This window comes from Homo sapiens, chromosome 20 (genome assembly GCF_000001405.40).
Source record: "Homo sapiens chromosome 20, GRCh38.p14 Primary Assembly".
NCBI classification, from domain to species: Eukaryota; Metazoa; Chordata; class Mammalia; order Primates; family Hominidae; genus Homo; species Homo sapiens.
The window spans coordinates 4,008,522-4,030,807 of NC_000020.11; the positions used below are offsets into that span (position 1 = coordinate 4,008,522).

A 22,286-nucleotide genomic window follows, 5' to 3' on the forward strand; every position below is an offset into this window, starting at 1 on the left:
ATATATATTATTTATATATATTATATATATATATATTTTTTTTTGAGACAGAGTCTCGCTCTGTCACCCAGGCTGGAGTGCAATGGCACAATCTTGGCTCACTGCAACCTCCACCTCCCAGGTTCAAGCAATTCTCTGTCTCAGCCTCCCGAGTAACTGGGATTACAGGCACCCGCCACCACACCCGGCTAATTTGTTGTATTTTTAGTAAGATGGGGTTTCACCATCTTGGCCAGGCTGGTCTTGAACTCCTGACCTCATGATCCACCCGCCTTGACCTCCCAAAGTGCTGGGATTACAGGCATAAGCCACCATGCCCGGCCCAAGACTGCCAATATTAAGTCATACTTATGAAAGAATGAAATGTAACATAGGGCAAAATTTGATCATTAATATATTCTTCATAATTGTTTCAATTCTTAAGTGTAGCAAAAAATGGTGAGTAATTAAAAAACATGGATTCTCTTGTTAGAAATTTTTAAAAATCAAAAGCTATTTTACCAGGTCAGTTGTGCCTCTTTTGCCCATGTACTGAGTAGACACTTGTGCCACCTGCTGTCCTAGGGGACAGAGTGGTAAACAGGACAGATGAGGTCCTTGCCTTCCTGGAGCTGACCTTCTATTAGGGGTAAGTCACACAAAAATTATTAAACAACAGAATTTCAGAGGGTGGTACGTACTATAGAGGAGGTAGGGAAGGCACGTAAACTTCTCTTTTGAGAGACTTAACCATGTAGGTAAATAGAAAGGGATAGAGGAGGGTCAGGGAAAAGTTGTTTGCTGAAGCTTATTCTGATTTTAAAGATGGGCAACGTCACGGCATATGTGTATGCTGACATGGATAGCCCCCTGGAGAGTTGCTGATGATGCAAGAGAGAGGGCAAAAATGCTAAAGCTGTGAGATATGAGGGGGCATGAGGTATAGAAGATGTGAGGAGGAACACAGTAGAAAGGGGAGCTTGCCTCCGACAGGAGACAGAAAACATGGGTCTAAGGAAGGCAGATTTCTACATTTGGTTGGGGGGAAGATGAGTGGTTTCTGTCTGATATCTCCTAAACCCTCAATGAACTATGAGGTCAGCTTATCTGAGTAGGAGGGGTGGGTTGCTGATAAGTTTAAGGAGTGGAGAGAAGTTATGAAATAGTGATAGGCAAAAAGATCTTATTAAGATTCAATGGTAGCTTTGCCGGGCAGTGCTGAGTGTCTACTTCGGATTTTTGGTCATGAATCTGAAGTTCTCTTGTAATATCCAGCCACTTGGGTGGTGTCATGGAAAAGCCAAATGAATGATAAAGCAGCTATAAATAGAAAAAAAAGGGTTTTTAATTTTAAAATTTTTAAAGAGTAAACAAAGGATGTTTTAAAAATATGTATCCAAATTAGCCAGGCATGGTGGCGGGCACCTGTAATCCCAGCAACTGGGGAGGCTGAGGCAGGAGAATCGCTTGAACCTGGGAGGCAGAGGTCGAAGTGAGCCGAGATCACGCCACTGCACTCCAGCCTGGGTGAAAGAGTGAGACCCTGTCACAAACAAACAAACAAACAAACAAACAAACAAACAAACAAACAAGGCCAGATGCGGTGGCTCATGCCTGCAATCCCAGCACTTTGGGAGGCTGAGGTAGGCAGATCACGAGGTCAGGATTTCGAGACCAGCCTGACCAACATAGTGAAACCCCGTCTCCACCAGAAATACAAAAATTAGCTGGACATGGTGGCGCACGCCTGTAGTCCCAGCTACTCGGGAGGCTGAGGCAGGAGAATTGCTTGAACCCGGGAAGCAGAGGTTGTGGTGAGCCGAGATTGCACCACTGTACTCCAGCCTAGGTGACAGAGTGAGACTCCATCTCAAAATAATAATAATAATATGTATCCATGAGATAAACACAAAAATACTGACAATGTTCTGTGAAGCTGTGATTTATGCAGCTCCTTTTGCTTCCATCTTCTCATCACAGAAATTCTTGCAAACAATATATTTGTCACATTTAATAATGACATATTTAATCATGAAGCTCAAGTTAGTTTCTTTTTGGTCATTTCTTTTTTTGTCATTTCCTAAGGTGGATTTTTAAAAAATGCACCTGACAGCCGTCATGTTGGTTCATTTCACTGCTTAAAAGAAACTCTCTCTGATGTCAATTGATATTTTCATTGTTGATTTCATTTAAAAGTAAAAAAACTTAATCCCCTCTCTCAATGAACACATACACATCTACAGTGCTTAATCTCAATGCCTAAACAGTGGTCACAAGGAAAATGGGAAGGGAGATGCTGGCCTGATGGCGCTGGGCACCTAGCAGTGCCAGGTGCATGTTCTTGATCTTGCAGCTGTGCTCTTAAAACACAATGCTCAAGATCCAAAACGTTCGGGGGAGAATTCCTGTCTGCACAGGTTCAAGAGGAGGAAACAAAGACCCCACTGCTTGATGGAGGCACAAAGAATAGCATATTGGGTGAGATGGGGGGAGTATGCACACACATACATATACAGCCTTTTTGGAAAATACAATCTACCCCACAAGCAAAAGTAAAGAAAAATATCTATTCCAAGGTACATCATGAAATGTCAGGAACACCAGGGATAAACTGAAGATCCTAAAATCTTTCAGAGTGGGAAGAAAAAGGGAATGAGGATTAAAATGACATTGGACTTCTCAATAGTGACACTGGAAGCTAATGGAACAATGTCTTCAAAACAGTCACATTAATTTTCAATCCAGATTTTAACACCAAGCTAAACTACCATTCAAGAGTGAAGGTAAAATGAAGGCATTTCCAGACATGTAACTTCTGAATTCAGGAAGGAATTTCAGATTTTGTATGTACCCTTTCTCAGGAAGCTACTCAAGAATAAGGAAGACACAGGGTCCAGGAAATAGAAGACCTAACACAGGAGGAAGGCAAAGGGAATTCCCAAGATGATGACAAAGGGAAGTCCCAGGATGATGGCTATGCAGTAGTCCAGGGAGCAAACAATTCCAGACTGGAGTAGGAGAGAGGGGGCTCCAGCAGGACCATCTCCTGGGGAAAAGATATGAAAGTGAGTGACTACCTGAGAATATTCAAAGATAATCAGTTTTGTCATAGAGTTTGAATGAATTAGTGACTGATACAAAGAAAACTCAGCAAATGAAAACCAAACAAACAAAAGAGGCAATTATTTAATTCAGGAGCAACAAAAGTTGTTCAAGAAGAAAACACAGTAATAGCACCCTACGTGGCTCAACTGTGAATAACAGGTACACTGTCAGTCATATAAATCCTGAATACCGACCTAACTGTCAAGTATGAGTGGGAAATGGAAGGATAGTTATGTGAGACAGTTAAGTCTTCAACTTCCAAAATAGAAGTCCACAGAGAATATCCAAAAGTGAAGAGCTAAGAAATAGCAGTATAAACATTAAAAATGAAATAAGTATAAAGGTAAATACCAAAAGAAACCAGTAAGAGTTGAGAGTGGTTTAACTATATAATATATAAGACTGCTGATTTTGATTTTTTCTCAGTCTCAACATGGCAATTTCATATGATTCAAGCTAACACATTGTAATAGCATTATTACTGATCTTAGAATAAACTCCCATTTAAAACAATAAACAATTATTGGCCGGGCGCGGTGGCTCACACCTATAATCACAGCACTTTGGGAGGCTAAGGCAGGCAGATGGCTTGAGGCCAGGAGCTCAAGACCAGTCTGGCCAACATGGCAAAACTCCGTCTCTACTAAAAATACAAAAAAAAATTAGCCAGGCGTGGTGGCCAGTGCCTGTATTCCCAGCTATTCGGGAAGCTGAGGCATGAGAATCACTTGAACCTGGGAGACGGAGGCTGCAGTCAGCCGAGATCACGCCACTGCACTCCAGCCTAGGGGACAGGGTGAGACTCCATCTCAAAAAAAAAAAACAACAAAACACCCAAAAAACAAAAAAGCAATTATTGATAGAGAATGCTCAATGGAAAAATAAATTACTTTTTATTATGAGACATTACTGGGAGGATAATAGATCCTAGTTAACAAAGTGTTACCATCTATGCTCTTACCATCACTAACATAATATTACTATTCTAATGAATAAATATTTACTATTAAAACAGCACTTAACATTATTTTATCTATTTTAAGGATCTAAAAGTTAGTTTAGATTTTTTCTTCAATCATCATACTACAGAATGCTAAACTATGGGTTGGCAAATACTTTGATTAACAGAATGCTGAATAACAAGGCCAGGCTGTGTTTAGGTTCCTTTGTTGATATTAAAAATAGCTAAGTCACTCTTGCAAAATTAAACTTCCATGAAATTGCGATACTGTGCAAGCTTATTTCAGTGATAATTCCGGTTATGCTACTCTGTTTATCTAAGACTTCCCCTTACGGTTTGTTTTAAGGAGACTCCTAAAAAATGTCTTATGCAGTCAAGACAGGCAGTTTATAAATGTACTGGGTTACTTCAACATTAGTGACTTTAGTTAGTAAAGCTCTTGTTTTTTTTTTTCTGCTTCATTTTTCCTTCATAAAAGCCTTGTTTTAAATTAACTTATCTGAATTAAATTAATTGATATTAAGATTTTATTTAAATCATGCATTAAAACCAAAACATCCCCAATTGAAAAATCAACTTTCATTAATTTTTTTTTACTCTTACAAAAAAGAATTTGAACGTGGTAAGAATTTTACTAAGAATAATGTATCCTGAACTGACCATGGAAAATTTCCCCTTCAAATTAAAAGCAAATGTTTTAAACAGAGGGAATATACATAAACAGATGCTGTGGAAGACTGCTTAGTTTACATTTCATTTTCCACTGAAAACTACTAGGAATTAAAATACATGTGATTTTTAAAAATATTACAGAGAATCTTAAAGAAAACAGAACCCATACAATTATTCATATCATCCAATATAAGCGCCTCTTAATTTTTTAAAACCGCTATTTTGAATCCAAAGATCATAATAAAAATAGCTTTTTTTTCAGACGGAGTTTCGCTCTTGTTGCCCAGGCTGGAATGCAATGGCGCGATCTAGGCTCACTGCAACCTCCGCCTCCGGGAGTTCAAGCGATTCTCCTGCCTCAGCCTCCCGAGTAGCTGGAATTACAGGCGCTCGCCACCATGCCCGGCTAATTTTTTGTATTTTTTTAGTAGAGACAGGGTTTCACCATGTTGGCCAGGCTGGTCTCAAACTTCTGACCTCTGGTGATCCACCCACCTCGGCCCCCCAAAGTGCTGGGATTACAGGTGTGAGCCACCGCACCCGACCCATAATAAAAATACCTTGGAGGTGTGTTTCTTGTAAATGAGTGGCTAATTTCCCAACACCCTGTAAAAGTATATGGGTAAAAAGAAACTGAAAATCATCATGCAACCAGAGTTAACAACTATCTTGCAAAATTCATATCATTTGTTTTAAAACCAAAATAGCAAGGAAGAGCTGGTGTTATCCCAATAGCCTCTTTTTAATTGGTCTACAACAACTGCAACTCTTCATAACTTTACCAACACAACAAAGTCAGGCAGGCAGTCTGACAGAGTCAACGTTTGTGGGAACCTACAGCGCTTCCTTCTCTCTCTGGAGATGAGGACAATGAAAAAAGGTGTTCTGTTTTCCAGTAGTCCTGTAAGAGGAGCCATTGAGCTGGGCTGTACAACCAGACAACAGAACACAGGAAAATTCACATCAAAGCAAGGGCGCATGCCAGGGTAATATGCAATAAAACCCTCTGCCAAAGCATTAAGGGGAAAAAAAAGCAAGGAGGTAGAGAGAACCTGCTGGACTACCTTCTCATTAACACAGGGAGGCAGAAAGAAACAAAATCTGCCTGTATTCAGGAGCGGAGAAAACTGTGTCCTAGATATATTGGAGTATTCCTATAGACATGTTTATGAGCATTCGGACAAATTATCAATGAACTAAACCCAGAAAGCAGTGTCCTGTACGGTGGAGTATTCCTATGTAGACAGACATGAGAATCTTACCATTAACTAAGCCCAAAAAGGCAAAGTATTCTAGAAACACAGATATATGAGAATTTAGATGCACATTTCCAATGAATAAAACCCACTGGTTTTACAGTGAGAAAAAACTGTTTGAAATAACATCAGGTAAAGAATTGGGTAAAGGTGTGATGAAGTTATATCCCCTCCCCTTTTCCTCATACCCTTTTTGACAATCTCTGATTCTCTCATTTCATAGATGTCCCTTTCACTTGAATGCGCACACACACACACACACACACACACACACACACACACATCATTAGGTCTCCAGAAACAAAGGAGGGTCCTTAATTCTCCGGCCTGTGGAACCACACACGCCCCCTGCCCACAGATGGTGACTTTCATTAATGAGTAAGCCGAGGGAAGAGGTCTCCACCCCGACCACTGCCATGCACACTGTGACAACGGGGCACGAGACAAGCGCCACAAAGAAAGGGGAGGAGTGGACGGGGACCAGGAAAACACTGCCACGCCGCACCCCCCAAGGCGCGCGCCCACCGCCAACGCGGGGGCAGCGTCCTCGCCATCCTCCTCCTAGCCTCCCAGCTCATCCCAGCCGCCTCCCACGCCCGGGGACCCGATGCCAGGGCTTGGGCGAGCAGGACGTGCGGGGGCCCACGCACCTTCCCTCCGTGATCTCCAGGTGACAGCCCCGCTCCGCCCTTTGTGAGGGACTCACCCTCCAGTCCCGGGGCCGCGCCGGACCCTCCTCCGCGTCCCTCCTCAGCCTGGAGACACCGCCTCACCCCTGCACACCGCGCCCGGCCGGCCGAGGCGCCGGGAGAGTGTGTGTGTGTGGGAGGCTGGCGCGGGCCCGCGGTCTCCTCAGCATCCCGAACCCGGAGCGGCTCGGTCCCCCAAACCCCAGCCCGGGGGCGGCGGCCGCGGCGCTCCCGCCCTCGCTCGCTCACTTACTCGGGCGCGCCGGTGGCAGCGGCAGACGTGCGGGACCGTCAGCGCCCTGCGGCGGGCGGCAGGCTGCGGGCGGCGAGCGTCCGTCCGGACAGAGCGCGGCGGAGGTGGCGGCGGCTGACTGCGCCCGGCGGCCCCTCGCGAGGGGCGGGCCCGCCGGGGGAGGGGCGGGCGCCGCGCCTCTCATTCATGCAGCGGGGGCGGGGTGAGGGACCCGGATGCCCGGGCAGTTTCCCCACCCACCTCGGCGGAGGGCTCGGCGGCTTCAGAGTCTGCAGTGCGCAGGCGCGGCGCTCCCTGGCCAGGCCTGGTGCGGCCCTGGCCGCTGGCTCTGTTCCTGGTTAGAACTACGCCAGACAGGCCGGGCGAGGTGGCTCACGCCTGTAATCCCAGCACTTTGGGAGGCTGAGGCGGGCAGATCACGAGGTCAGGAGATCGAGACCATCTTGGCTAACGCGATGAAACCCCGTCTCTACTAAAAATACAAAAAATTAAATTAGCCGGGTGTGGTGGCGGGCGCCTGTAGTCCCAGCTACTTGGGAGGCTGAGGCAGGAGAATCGCCTGAACCTGGGAGGCGGAGCTTGCAGTGAGCCGAGATCGTGCCACTGCACACCAGCCTGGGCGACAGAGCGAGACTCTGTCTCAAAAAAAAAAAAAAAAAACAACTACTCCAGACAGACCTTCTCCATCGACCGTTTAGTATTTTTGCGTGCCCTACAAGCATTTTTAAAAGTGAAAGCATGGGGCCGGGCGCAGTGGCTCACGCCTGTAATCCCAACACTTTGGGAGGCCAAGGCGGGTGGATCACCTGAGGTCAGGAGTTCCAGACCAGCCTGACCAACATAGAGAAACTCTGTCTCTACTAAAAATACAAAATTAGCTGGGTGTGGTGGCTCATGCCTGTAATCCCAGCTACTCGGGAGGCTAAGGCAGGAAAATCTCTTGAACCCGGGGAGCGGAGGTTGCAGTGAGCCAAGATCGCACCATTGCACTCCAGCCTGGGTGACAGAGCAAGACTCCGTCTCACACACAAAAAAATGAAAGATTGGAATGCCACCCCTTTCCTAGCATGCAGATTGACAGTCCCCAGAGACACAAGAATGGTCACGTGGTGCCCATTGGTTTGATGGGGAGATGGTATGCACCGCACCCTCCTCCATCTGCCCCTCCTGCTGCAGCCTCTCAGCTGAGTGCTAGAACCTTGGTGATGGATGAGACCTAGACTCTGCCCAGATAGTGGAGAGAGGTGTGTGCAAGAAACAGTGCATTCCTTTATTTACATCCACTCCTCAACCTCCGGCTCCCATTCTACAGGGCAGGCAATAAATTGACCTCCGATTTTGGGAGGCTGAGCTCTTCCTGCAATACCAAGGCAAGGATCTGGGGAGTCCTCTCTTGTCTTTAGCAGGCAGTGTATTCTGCAGATACTCTCTTGTTCCCATCGCCTTGTGTCTGCCACTCCTGGGGTACGGAAGTTTCTGGAGAGGCTAGGAGCCTGCAGAGGGAATGGCTGTGAAGCTCCACAGCTGACTGTGTGTGCGCTGCAGCTCAGAGCTTGCAAAAATGATTGCCCCCTCTTCCTCAGTCTCCATGTGTCCCCCAGAAGTTCTCCTTCCTTCTCCTAATCTCTCAGGCCCCATCACATAAACCATAAACAGCTCAGTAGCTTAACTTTGGGAAGCAAAAGTCATCATGGCAAGCGCCTAGAGGCATGTTCCTTCTGCTTTGGCAAACCATTAACCACCAAGGCAGGGAGGAAGTAAAGAGGGAAACATTAGTGAATTTCTCAAGAAGTCACCTGCCACCCAATGGTCACAGTCCCCCAAAGTGAGAGAAGGGTGGAGGCATGTGCTAGGGAGACTGTGGCAAAAGGAAGGGAGTGGGAGACCCAGGCTTCCTCTAGAGCTGCCTGTGCCAGGGCTGTGCTGGGGGAACACTGCCCTCCTTGCTGTCAATCATAGCAGTTACCTGGAGGGTCTTTTCAACTTTGCTTTGCTCAAACCTCTCACTGTTCTAAATCAGCCCCCTCATCTCTCCCCTGGGCTGTTGCAGAAGTCTCAATCCATTCTCATGCAAATCGATTCTCATGGTATTCAAATCTGCCTGTGTTTCTGTCTTTTTCTTTTTCCCTGCCCCATCTGGCTCCTTGAGCCTTATTTTCCAGCCATTTACAGAACAGCACCATGGTGTTTCACCTCAGTAGTCACCAAGGTGACTGCTGTTTCCTGCTGTTCCCCTACTAGGAAAGCAATACTTACCTAGCATGCAAAAGTTGCTCTTTTCTCTGAAAATCCACAGATGCTTTTTAGGGCAGTGAAAATACTCTGTGTATGATACCATAATGGTGGATACCTGTCATGACACATTTGTCTAAATCCATAGAATGAATAATACCAGCAGCAAACTCTAATGTAAACATGGATTTTGGGTGATAATGATGTGCCAATGTAGGTCCAACAATAGTAATAAATGCTCCCGTGGGAGAATGTTTATAATGGGGGGGCTATGTATGTGTAGGGGGGAAGGGCTAGTTGGGAACTCTGCACATTCCTCTCACTTTTGTGGCAAACTTAAAACTGCTCTAAAAAAAAGTAAAGTATTTACAAAGTCATTTTTGATAAAGTATTTTTTTCTGCCCCCACTTATTGACAGACTTTCCTTGAGAATCCCCACCTGTGCCCTGTACCCACTTCCCTCTCAGCACTAGGCACCCTCCAAGGTCCCTGCTCATTTGCATATTTTCTTACCACACCAGCATGTGAGTCCTTCATCAGCAGGATCAGTATCTCCCAGGACCTAATATGTGACTGGCACATAGTGGGTCTGCTGTGGCTATTGGTGGAGGTGATGTTCCCTGGTGGGCTGGGGAGGCTCCACAGGAGAAGGAAAGGCTGAGCTCCTTTTCTTTCTTCTTCCTTATTTTGGCTTCCTTCCTCTGCCCTGCGTTTGGAAACCTGTTTTGTTTGTTTGTTTAGAAAGCTTGGCTAGTAATTCACTAGTCCAATCAGGCTGTAGGGTAGAGGATGGAGTGGCTCATTTCATGTCTTTTGTTCTTGAAAAAATTAGGGGTGAGTGGGAAAGAGAATGAGAGAATGAACGGAAGGAGGAGGGGCCGTGTCCAGTTGCTGTTTTCAGGGAGACTCATCTTATTAAAATTTTGCTGTGTCATCAACTGGCCCAACTGGTTTTTAGGGTCAAGGAGAAAGTTTTCCTTTGGGACTGGACAGGTGGAATCTGGCCTCACAGTTTCTACAACATATGGCAGGATCCTGCTCTTCTGTCCCCTGTAGCGGGTTGTCCCGTGTTCCCCTTAAGGAAGAAATCACAGTTTTTGTCCTCCTGGTGCTTCCGGCTGGAGGTTCACCTGCTAGTCCCTGATCCTCTTTGCTTAGTGATGCACATGAGTCTACTCATCCCCCCACCACTCCCAGCCCCCACTGGTCTAGGCAAAATGCAAGTGATGGGAGAGTGTGGGTGGGCAATTCTTTCTCTGGAGGGTTTAGGTGGGTACCTCAAAACAGCAGGCAGCTAGGACTTGAAGTGGTGGCTTCGCAGCTAACATTTTCCTTGTTCCACATGATGGGTAGGGGTAGGGTAGGGAAGACTTCACTGTTTGGAGTTTCGGAGGATGCCCCTCTTTCTCTTTATCCTTCCTCCCCACAGTCCCCTCCCATCTCCTCCCTTATACCTCTTTTTTTTTTTTTTTTTTTTTTTTGAGATGGAGTTTCGCTCTTGTTGCCTGGGCTGGAGTACAGTGGCGCCATCTCGGCTCACTGCAACCTCCATCTCCCAGGTTCAAGCAATTCTCCTGCCTCAGCCTCCTGAGTAGCTGGGATTACAGGCATGCGCCACCACGCCCAGCTAATTTTGTATTTTTAGTAGAGACGGGGTTTCTCCATGTTGGTCAGGCTTGTCTCAAACTCCTGACCTGAGGTGATCCACCTGCCTCGGCCTCCGAAATTGCTGGGATTACAGGTGTAAGCCACCACGCCCAGCCCTTATACCTCCTTTTAAGCAATGTCCTCACCCCAAATCCATCTCAGAAAATTGTCCCTACCCATATGGTCAGAAGTCCTTCAAGACTCCTGGAAAAGAAATCACAACTACTTTTAAATCAAACGTCTGACTAATTTTGGAACAGTGAGAACAGGGGCTGGTTTTAGTCATCTTTGGATCAGGTGCCCAATACAAGTTTGTTGAATGAATGCCTGACTGGTCAAGACAAAATCAGTCTTTCAAACAGAAGCTAGAAATCAAAGGTTGCCTATAGCCCCATTCCTCTGTCCATCCTCCCCATCTGTTGAGATGGCACGATTTCAGAAAAACATCCCTCCCACTGGTCAATCCTTTGAAAGCTTAATTATTCAGAGTTCTAAATGACCCCTTTAAGGGTTGATCATATAATGCTTTGACCCGTTGGACTGTGCCAGTAGAGGAGGAGATGTTCTGTGTTCCCCGAGCCTCTTCATCCAAGAATTCCAAAGTGACTCCTCCTGCCTTGATCCCTCCCAATGGCCCTCTCCTCCTCATAGCCCATGGGGACCTCTTGCTGGGGCGTGACGCTGCCCACGGAGGGGTGGAATTGCTTCTTCTTTTTTTTTTTTTAGATGAAGTCTCTCTGTCGCCCAGGCTAGAGTGCAGTGGTGCAATCTTGGCTCACTGTAACCTCCGCCTCCTGGGTTCAAGTGATTCTCCTGCCTCAGCCTCCCGAGTAGTTGGGATTACAGGCACCTGCCACTGCGCCCAGCTAATTTTTGTATTTTTAGAAGAGACAGGGTTTCACCATCTTGGCCAGGCTGGTCTCGAACTCCTGACCTCAAGATCCACCCGCCTCGGCCTCCCAAAGTGCTGGAATTACAGGCATGAGCCACCGGAATTGCTTCTTAATGCAGAATGTGTGTGCAAGACTGTGAAACAGCAAGAGTTGGGGAGAAAGCGTAGGTTTCTGTGTGCATGGTACCTTTAGGACTGGCTGTGTGTCCACCCACAAGCCAGCGAAGGAGGTGGGAACCTGGGATTCTGTTTACCCAGCCACCAACAAGCCCCGTTGCCTTTCTGGCACACACAAGCCCAATCACCCAGAACTCCTGAAAATATAAATGTTCTCAAGATCTCATGTGGGAGCTTTTTAGCTGAGACCAGCCACACATGCAGGAGACTGGAAGCACTATTTCCCAGGGGTGGAACAACCTGCTCAGACTCACTTTTAGATTGGAGGATACCCATCTCAGCGTGGATTCTCCCAAGAACAGATCTTAAGACAAGGGCTTGGATGTAGGTAATTTACTTGGGAGGTGATTCCAGGAAATAAGAGTGAAGAAATGGGGAAAGCAAGCTGTGAAAGGGAGAGAAGCCAACAGTAAGGTATGCTGATGGGCCAGTTACTGCCATGGGCAACTGAGGCTCAGTCTGGCTTGGCGTCCACTGAGAAACCTTGTAGAACAGCCCTCAGCATTGTCTGCCTGGATGACCAGGAGGCCAGAGTATTTCTCCACTGACTTCAGTGTCTTGGTTGCTTTTCTTTTCTTTTTTTTTTTGAGACGGAGTTTCGCTCTTGTTGCCCAGGCAGGAGTGCAGTGGCATGATCTCAGCTCACTGCAACCTCCGCCTCCCGGGTTCAAGAGATTCTCCTGCCTCAGCCTCTCAGGTAGCTGGGATTACAGGCATGCGCCACCATGCCTGGCTAATTTTGTATTTTTTTAGTAGAGACGGGGTTTCTCCATGTTGGTCAGGCTGGTCTTGAACTCCCGACCTCACGTGATCCACCTGCCTTGGCCTCCCAAAGTGCTGGGATTACAGGCATGAGCCACCGCGCCTGGCCCTCTTTTCTTTTCTTTTCTTTTTTTGAGACAGAGTCTCACTCTTGTCACCCAGGCTGGAGTGCAGTGGCGCCATCTAGACTCATTGCAACCTCTGCCTCCTGGTTGTTCAAGTGATTCTTGTGCCTCAGCCTCCTGAATAGTTGGGATTACAGGCGTGTGCCACCATGCCCAGCTAAATTTTGTATTCTTAGTAGAGACAGGGTTTTGCCATGTTGGCCAGGCTGGTCTCAAAATCCTGGCCTTGAGTGATCTGCCCAGCTCAGCCTCCCAGAGGGTACTTTCAAGTTACATCTATGGAACAAAGCAAGCCGCTCTGCTAAGCTCCTCCAGTTATTGATTACACAACCCCCACAGCTGTGACCACCATTTGGCTACCACCATCATCACAGCTTCTGCCCCTCCAATTTCCCCCAGCCAATTATATCACTGCCTTTTCTCTCTGCTAGGTTCTGTTAGGCCTGAGCTTTAAAGAGAAAGGAATAAAGTGGAATGATATATCTTTGCCCATAACTCATTCTAGGAAAAAGGAACTATGCTGGTTTTCTTTTTCCTCCATTTCAACCTATCCAATCTACCCAAATAGTTCCCAATCATTATCACCTCATCCCAAAGCAACAGACGGGAAAGAGGAACAGGGCAAGAAAGCAGACAGGCTTTCTGGAGTGACTTTTATCCCCACAGAGTCATAGATGCAGAGTTGGAAGAGATGAATTCTCTCATTTGGGAGATAAGGACACCATGCAGATAAAGAGACTCTGTATCTTCTGCTTTTCCTGCTGCTGCAGTGCTTCCTCCAGGCAGGCTTCCTTAGTTTTTCTTGGCTTCCTACCCTTCCAACCTACGCCATCATAATCTGGACTCCAGCCCTTTATTCCCTCAAAGGCTGACTCAGGCCATGACTGAGGGAAGAAGCTTGGATTCTGTAGTGGAACAGCATTGTCCATGGGGAGACACGGCTTCCATCCCAGGCCTTTGGTTCCATTACTTAGTTTCTCACTTGCCTGTCTGTCATCCAAAGGGGCTCACAAGGAGGGGAATGCAGGGAGGAGACATCTCCCTAATACCATTGGAGTTTTTTTCCAGGTTAAGATGGTGCATTGAATCCACCCATCTACTTTTGCTCCTCCCAAAACTCACTAAAACTATTATAAAGGGATTTTGTTTAAAGACACAAACTCATGAGGACAGAGAGAACAGAGTAGACAATAGTGGGGGAAAAATAAGTTGGAAGATAGAAAACAGATGGGTGAGTGGTAATCGACTCAGCAGCCCCAAGAAAGCTGAAACCCAGGGAAAGTTAAGAGTAGCCCTATTTTCATGGCAAAATCCAAGGGGGGGTGGGGAAAGAAAGAAAAACAGAAAAAAAAATGGGAATTGGCAGTCCTAGATATCTCTGGTACTGGGCAAGCCAAAGAATCAGGATAACTGGGTGAAAGGTGATTGGGAAGCAGTTAAAATCTTAGTTCCCCTCTTCCACTCTCCGAGCAGCAGGTTTCTCTCTCTCATCAGGCAGAGGGCTGGAGATTTCACCTCCGGAGAGAGTAAAAAGGAGGATCTCTGGGCTGGGGCACCAGGCGTGGCTGAGGACAAAGGTGGCATGTGGAGAACAGGGGCGTTAAGTGACTATTTCCTCACTGCATGCTGAGAACCTCAGCTTTCTTCTCTGATCACTTCCCAAATCACTGGCAGCTACTCTCCACCTCTCTTCTCTGAGCACTCTGACCAGCCAAAAGGGAAAGAATGAAGGATACTGGCATTCAGATTTCCAGTAAACGACCATCCATGTCTCCCTACGGTGAATCACAGTTGACAAGCCCAGTTCCTGCACTCAGGGTTTTTCATAGTCCTTTACTCTTAATCAAGAGCAGAGAGCTAAAGATTATGTCTTAGGTTCCCTAGAAACAGAAGCTGTGATGCAGATTCAGATGCATGCGATTTATTGCGGGCGGGCCCTCAGAAGAAGCTCCTTTTTCCACCTCCAGAAAGAGCATGGAAAGGAACTGAGCAAGGATGTGGTCTTGGCTGGAGTCTAGCCTCAGTCTGACCCACAGGGAGCCCTGGAGCATGAATTGCACCACAGGGTTGATCTCACCTTGAAGCAAGAGGGCCAGCTTTTGTATCCATATATTGATCAATCACTGGCTGTGGGCTGCCAGGGAGGAAGCCATGAATTCCCAGGCAAGGTAGTTCCTACTTGAGGACAATTCTTTAGATAAAGTGGCAGCTCTGGTCTATTTATGACCGAGATTTATAGCAGCTGAAGGTATGGGCAGAACACCAATAACATCTACTGTAGATTACCAGATTACCAAATATCTGAGGAAAGCTGCTAACATGGAAGATAGAAAATAAATAACAATAAAAACAAGTCAAAACAAGCAAGCAAACTAATAATTAAAATAAACAGAAAAAGGCAAGTTGGAGGAAACCAAGATTTATTTTTAAGAATAAGAGGTGATAGGCAGTTCGGCGGTCCAGTGGGTCTGTCTCTTGCTTCAACAGTGTTTGGACGGAACAGATCCGGGGACGGTCTTCCAGCCTCCGACCGCCCTCCAATTTCCTCTCCACTTGCAACCTCCGGGACCATCTTCTCGGCTATCTCCTGCTTCTGGGACCTGCCAGCACCGTTTTTGTCGTTAGCTCCTTCTTGGCGACCAACCATGAGCTCCCAGATTCGTCAAAATTATTCCACCGACGTGGAGGCAGCCGTCAACAGCCTGGTCAATTTGTACCTGCAGGCCTCCTACACCTACCTCTCTCTGGGCTTCTATTTCGACCGCGATGATGCGGCTCTGGAAGGCGTGAGCCACTTCTTCCGCGAATTGACCGAGGAGAAGCGCGAGGGCTACGAGCGTCTCCTGAAGATGCAAAACCAGCGTGGCGGCCGCGCTCTCTTCCAGGACATCAAGAAGCCAGCTGAAGATGAGTGGGGTAAAACCCCAGATGCCATGAAAGCTGCCATGGCCCTGGAGAAAAAGCTGAACCAGGCCCTTTTGGATCTTCATGCCCTGGATTCTGCCCACATGGACCCCCATCTCTGTGACTTCCTGGAGACTCACTTCCTAGATGAGGAAGTGAAGCTCATCAAGAAGATGGGTGACCACCTGACGAACCTCCACAGGCTGGGAGGCCCAGAGGCTGGGCTGGGCGAGTATCTCTTCGAAAGGCTCACTCTCAAGCACGTCTAAGAGCCTTATGAGCCCAGCGACTTCTGAAGGGCCCCTTGCAAAGTAATAGGGCTTCTGCCTAAGCCTCTCCCTCCAGCCAATAGGCAGCTTTCTTAACTACCCTAACAAGCCTTGGACCAAATGGAAATAAGGCTTTCTGATGCAAAAAAAAAAAAAAAAAAAAAAAAAAAAAGAATAAGAGGTGATATTACACCCATGAAACAAGAATAAGATGCTATTTTGAGACAAGAAACAAAAAATAAGCTTTAAAATAAACACACACACATACACACACATACACACAACAGCAGAAATGAAAAATTCAATGGATGGCTTGAGAAAAATGTCTAGAATATCTCACAGAAAATAGATCTGAAAGACAAAACAATGAAAAACAGGAAAGAAAAGATGAGGAATGTAGGGGGAATAGTCCAAAAGGTTTAACATCTGAATAACAAGCATTTCAGAAAAGGAGGGAAGGAAATCATCAATGTGATAATTCAAGAAAAATTTCCCAAATTGAAAAACATAAATTGCCAGGTCAAAAGGGCTCACCGTTTGCCTAGTTTAACCAAGGCACATAATTGTGAAATTTCACAGCCCTAAGGATAAAGAGATGATTCCACAAGCTTGAACAAATAAAAGAATAAGTCATATACTAAGTCTTAAGAATCAGCATGGCTCCAGACTTCTCTTCACTGGAATTGTTCCAGCAACACTGGAAGGTAGAATACTAGAGTAATATCTTCAAAATTCTGAAGAAAAATTGTTTCCAATCTAGAATTCTATATACAGTGAAACAATCAAGAAATGAGTGGAATGAAGACAATTTCAGATATGCACATCCCATGTTTCCTTTTCTGGGAAGTAATTTAAGGATGTGCTCCACCAAACCAAGGGAGTAACCCAAAGAAAAAGACACAACATGTGGGAAATGGGAGATCCAACACAGGGGAGAGGGATGAGGAATCCCTATGAGGCTGAGATGATGAAACTTGGAGGATTGGAGCAGAGAGACTCAAGAGATAGATATGTTAAAGACTGTCATCACCAAAGTGACTACTGTCATATTGCCATCTTTATAGCCACTTTTTGTTAGAAGCACAGACTTTTGAGGTAAATTAGATAAAGGACAGAGATCCCACATACTGTTGGAAAGAGGACTGGCCTAATACTGTTGAGGCTTGGGTTCTAGTCCTGACTTACTCTTGAAGTAGGTATAAGATCTGGGTATGTCATTTTTCCTCCCTGGATCTCAGGATTATCCTCTCTACATGTCAAGGATAGGCTAAGTGAATTACATGTATTTTTAAGGCTATTGTGCCTTAGTGACATGTATTCTTCATGGCACTGTATACGGTTATATGGCTTTTGAAAATGCAGAGTCATGTAACTACCTCCACAGTCATGCTACAGAACAGTTGCATCACCCCCCAAAAATCTCTCATAGCTCCCCTTTGCAGTCAGCCTCTTGCCTCCCCCTTAACCCTGTCAACCACTGACCTTTTCTCCCTCCCTATAGTCTTACCTTTTCTAGAACGTTAGATAAATGCAGTCATACAGTATGAAGCCTTTCAGATCTGGTTTCTTTCATTTAACACAGTGCATTTAGTTTTATGCACTAACCAGCAATTACCACTGATCTTGTTTTCAGTTCTCTCCCAAAGCAGATGCTAAGACAAGAATTCAAGTGCAAGTAGTTTATGTGGGAGGTGATCTCAGGAAGCACCAGTTAGCGGAGTGAGACAGGGAAGGGAAAGAAGCCAATACAGGATATGTCAGCAAGCAAGCTACCACTGTGGGAAACAAGCTCACCCTGCTGGAGACTCTGGGATCCAGTGCAGAGCACACATCTCAGCTCTATCCAGCCCAAGGAGCGAAAAAGCTGGGATTTTTATCTACCAACTCCCTGTCCATCAGTGGTTGAGTGCTACTTCTTAGGGCCTTCACTCTCCAGCACTTCTGGCTTGCCCTGTGCACAGACCAAGCATGTTCCTGTGACTAGAAATAAAAGCCCCCAGGCAGAAAGCAACAGATGTTCACATTAAGCAGCTTTCCATGTGCAGGGGCGAATGCCAAGGGTGATGTGTAAGACACTGGCAGCGTCAGCTGCTTCCAACCCAACCCAAATATTTTTATTGTTGTATGTGAAGGGAAGCAAATATATACTATAAATTCTTAAATTCATTCTGCTGGATAAAGAGAGAAAAGTCCTGGATTTCTTCTCAATAGGCCAATTTTAAAGGCTACTTTTCATATATAGGATGGGCAAAGCACTTTTAAAAACATTTATCTTAGATTTTCACTGTATTTATGGTTTACAAGGGTGCTTTGCATGTAAAACTTAATGTTTAAATAGCACAAGCTCATACAGTCCATATTCAATCCCTCGATTATTAATACAAAACTCAATTCAAGCAAAGACAAAGGATATAACAGAAGCTAAATCCAACTTGTGAATAATGAGAATAATTGATTTGTTTAGGTTCTATTATTCAGAAAGTTATGTCTTTGTTTTTTTTTTTTTTTTTTTTTTTCCAGGCAGGGTCTTGCCCTGTAGCCCAAGTTGGAGAGCAGTGGCACAATTATGGCTCACTGCAGCCTTGACCTCCAGGGCTCAAGGATCCCCATGTAGCTGGGACCAGAGGCACACGCCACCATGCCTGGCTAATTTTGGTATTATTTTTTGTAGAGATGGGGTTTTGCCATGTTGCCCAGGCTGGTCTCAAACTCCTGGGCTCATGCAATCCACCTGCCTTGGCCTCCCAAAGTGCTGGGATTACATGCGTGAGCCACTGCGCCCAGCCAGAATGTTATGTTTTAAATTTATCTGTGTTATCAGTTGGGTCTCTTTGCTTCTTTAAAGAAAATTTAATATTTAAATTAACTTTTTTTTTTTGAGATGGAGTCTTGCTCTGTTGCCCAGGCTGGAGCGCAGTGGCGCGATCTTGGCTCACAGCAACCTTTGCCTCCTGGGTTCAAGCAATTCTCCTGCCTCAGCCTCCCGAGTAGCTGGGATTACAGGCATATGCCACCATGCCTGGCTAATTTTTGTATTTTCAGTAGAGACGGGGTTTCGCCATGTTGGCCAGGCTGGTCTCGAACTCCTGATCTCAGGTGACCCACCCACCTCGGCTTCCCAAAGTGTTGGGATTACAGGCATGAGCCACTGCGCCCTGCGATTAACTTATTTTTTATACATCTAAAATGTACAAGTGCAGTTTTGTTACATGGATATATTGCATGGTGGTAAAGCTTTTAGTTTACCACTGAGATGTATTCTTTGTATCCTGTCTCTGGCAGTCAGCTCACAGTGTATTCTTTGTATCCTGTCTCTGGCAGTCAGCTCACAGAAATCCTCGCTGGCTCCAGCCACACCCAGGATTGTGTGATTCCTTGGGGGCTGGCTGCCGCTCCTGTGTGCCTCTTGACGCCCAGTGTATTCCAAGGTCCTGTGCTGGGCCAGGGGAACTTAGTAGATTATCTAAGGCACTTCTTTATTTTTGGGTTATTCTCAGGTGTGCACAACTCATTCTTTTACTTCCACACTTTGCTGGCTCTTGGCAGCCCTGGCAAGGCTGTCTCAACCTGCCTCATGTGCACACAGCTATCTCTATTTGGGAGTCTAACTGCCACCCTAAGCTCTATCCAGGGTTCTCACTGTACTTACATCCCCCAAACCTGAATGGGTTTCTTCCTTCTTTCCTTCCTTCCTTCCTTCCTTCCTTCCTTCCTTCCTTCCTCTCTTTCTCTCTCTCCTTCCTTCCTTCTCCCTCTCTCTTTCTCTCATCTCTCTCCTTCTCTCTTTCCCCCTCCCTCCCTCCCTCCCTCCCTTCCTTCCTTCTCCCTCTCTCATCTCTCTGTCTTTCTCTCTTCTTCTGTCTTTCCCTTCCTCCCCTCCCCTCCCTCTCTCCCTCCCTCCCTCCTTCCTCCTCCCTTCCTTCCTCCTCCCTTCCTCCCTCCCTCCCTCCCTTCCTTCTTTTCAAGACAGAGTTGCCCAGGCTGGAGCGCAGTAGCACAATCTTGACTCACTGCAACCTCTGCCTCCCAGGTTCAAGCAATTCTCCTGCTTCAGCCTCCTGAGTAGCTGGGATTACAGGTGTCCACTACCATGCCTGGCTACTTTTTGTATTTTTTTGTAGAGATGGGGATTTCACCATGTTAGTCAGGCTGGTCTCAAACTCCTGACCTCAAGTTATCTGCCCACCTCAGCCTCCCAAAGTGCTGCTGGGATTACAGGCATGAGCCACCACACCCGGCCCAAGCTCTTTTCCTTAGACATCCACCATCATGTGACTCTCCTTACTACTGAGTTTGGGGATTTATTCTGTATATGTGGGTGAATGCTTGCTCTCAAATGCATTCTTTCAAATCCGTTATATTGTCTACACCTATATTCCTCTAGGTTTCTTTCTAATGAACTTTCTTTAAAATTTACTTTTAATTTTGAGACAATGGTAGATTCACATGAAGTTATAAGAAATAATACAGAACAATTCTGTATAGCCTTCACCCAGTTTCCCCCAATGGTAACATCTTGCATAACTATACCATAGTATCATAGCCAGGAGATTGACACTGATAACGTCAATCTTATTCCATTTTCCCTAGTTTTATAGGACTTGTGTGTATGCATGTATTTAATTCTATGCAATTATCATATGTATAGATTCGTGTAATCACCACCATAGTTGAGATAAAAAATAGTTCAATCACCACAAGGATCTTTTGTGATGTCCTTTAATTTATTTATATTTATTTATTTATTTATTTTTCTGAGACGGAGTCTCGCTCTGTCGCCCAGGCTGGGGTGCGGTGGCATGGTCTTGGCTCACTGCAACCTCTGCCTCCCAGGTTCAAGCGATTCTCCTGCCTTGGCCCCCCAAGTAGCTGGGACTACAGCCACGTGCCACCACACCCCGCTGATTTTTTGTATTTTTAGTAGAGACGGGGTTTCGCCATGTTGGCCAGGCTGGTCTCAAACCCCTGACCTCGTGATCTGCCCACCTCAGCCTCCCAAAGTGCTGGGATAACAGGCGCGAGCCACTGCGCCCAGCCTTGCCCTTTTATAATCACACCTGCATCCTCCCTCCCGACCCGCCTTTTCCCTAACTGGCAACTATGAATGAGGGTTCTCCATCTGTATAATTTTGTCCTTTCAAAATATTATATAAATGAAATCATGCTGTATGCAACCTTTGAGAACTGGCTTTGTTTACTCAGCATACTACTTCCCTGGAGATTCATCCAAATTGTTGCACGAATCAGTAGTTTGTTCCTTTTTATTGCTGAGTAGTATTACAGGGTATGGATGTTCCACAGTTTGTTTAACCATTCACCTTTTGAAGAGTATCTGGATCATGTCCAGTTTTAAGTGTTACAAAGAGTCAACACAATAAGATAGTGATGAACATTTGTATATGGGTTTTTGTGTGAATATAATTTCTCTGGGATAAATGTCCACGAGTGCAATTGCTAAGTCACATGGAAGTTGCATGTTTAGTTTTGTAAGAAACTACCAAATTGTTTTCCAGAGTGGCTGTGCCATTTTACATTGCCACCAGCAATGTATGAGTGATCTGGTTTCTCTGCATTCTCACCAGCATTTGTTATTGTCATAACTTTTTATTTTAGCTATTCTGATAGGTGTGTAGTAATAACTGATTGTAGTTTTTACTTTGCATTTCTCACGTAATTACTGATGGTGAACTTTTTTTTTCTTATCTCTATTTGCCATCTGTATATTCTATTTAGTGAAATGGCTGGTCATATCTTTTGCCTATTTTCTAAGTGGATTATTTGTGGGATTTTTTTTCCCCTTGAGTTTTGAGAGCTCTGTATGTATTCTAGATAATAGTTCTTTGTTAAACATGTGGTTTGCAAATATTTTCTTTCAGTCTGTGGCTTGTCTTTTCATCAGCTTAAAGGGTCTTTCACAGAGTAAAAGTTTTGATGAAGTTTAAATTATCCAATTTTCCTTTTGTGGATTGCACTTTTGCTGTTAATCCTAAGAACTCTTTGCTTAGCCCTAGATCCTGAAGATTTTCCCCTAAGTTGTTTCCTAAAATGTTTGCATTTATATTTAAGTTCATGTTTCATTTTGAGTTAATTTTTGTATAAGTTGTCACGTTTTGGTTGGAGTTCACTGTTTTGTTTTGCCCTTGGATGTCCAATTGTTACAGTACAATTTGTTGAAAAGGCTATCCTTCCTTCACTGGATTGCTTTTGCACCTTTGTCAAAAATCCGTTGGCACTGGGCAGGGGGCTCACACCTGTAATTCTAGCACTTTGGGAGGTCAAGACATGAAGATCTCTTCAGCTCAGGGGTTTCAGACCAGCCTGTGTAACACAGTGAGACCTCACCTCTATAAAAAATAAACAAAA

At 45.5% G+C, this 22,286-nt stretch overlaps 1 protein-coding gene and 1 pseudogene across 7 annotated transcripts in view, besides 4 other annotated features; one reads left to right on the plus strand and one right to left on the minus strand.

The window, feature by feature from the left end:
- The window catches only part of RNF24 (ring finger protein 24), an 88,248-nt gene extending 81,211 nt beyond the window's left edge, over positions 1-7,037 (minus strand). For 3 of the 7 annotated variants that reach the window (NM_001134337.3, NM_001134338.3, XM_011529146.3), the window contains exon 1: positions 6,916-7,037. The gene's annotated coding sequence lies outside the window, so the exon portion shown is untranslated. Of the gene's footprint in view, positions 1-6,623 lie in introns of all 7 variants that reach the window. The other 4 variants (NM_001321749.2, XM_017027621.2, NM_007219.5 and 1 more) reach the window with 2 other exon arrangements.
- Positions 6,544-7,143: a silencer, noted in NCBI's record as "silent region_12636". NCBI's record gives its function as "represses an Ori minimal core promoter by ATAC-STARR-seq in GM12878 lymphoblastoid cells {active_cell/tissue: GM12878}" and the evidence as "EXISTENCE:reporter gene assay evidence [ECO:0000049][PMID:35858748]".
- Positions 6,544-7,959: a biological region, named in NCBI's record as "H3K27ac-H3K4me1 hESC enhancer GRCh37_chr20:3996195-3997127".
- Positions 7,027-7,959: an enhancer, noted in NCBI's record as "H3K27ac-H3K4me1 hESC enhancer chr20:3996195-3997127 (GRCh37/hg19 assembly coordinates)". NCBI's record gives its function as "activates a minimal SCP1, AML or CMV promoter by ChIP-STARR-seq in primed H9 embryonic stem cells {active_cell/tissue: H9 hESC(primed)}" and the evidence as "EXISTENCE:reporter gene assay evidence [ECO:0000049][PMID:30033119]".
- Positions 8,163-8,764: an enhancer, noted in NCBI's record as "H3K27ac hESC enhancer chr20:3997331-3997932 (GRCh37/hg19 assembly coordinates)". NCBI's record gives its function as "activates a minimal SCP1, AML or CMV promoter by ChIP-STARR-seq in naive H9 embryonic stem cells {active_cell/tissue: H9 hESC(naive)}" and the evidence as "EXISTENCE:reporter gene assay evidence [ECO:0000049][PMID:30033119]".
- On the plus strand, positions 15,197-16,067 carry FTLP3 (ferritin light chain pseudogene 3; annotated as a pseudogene).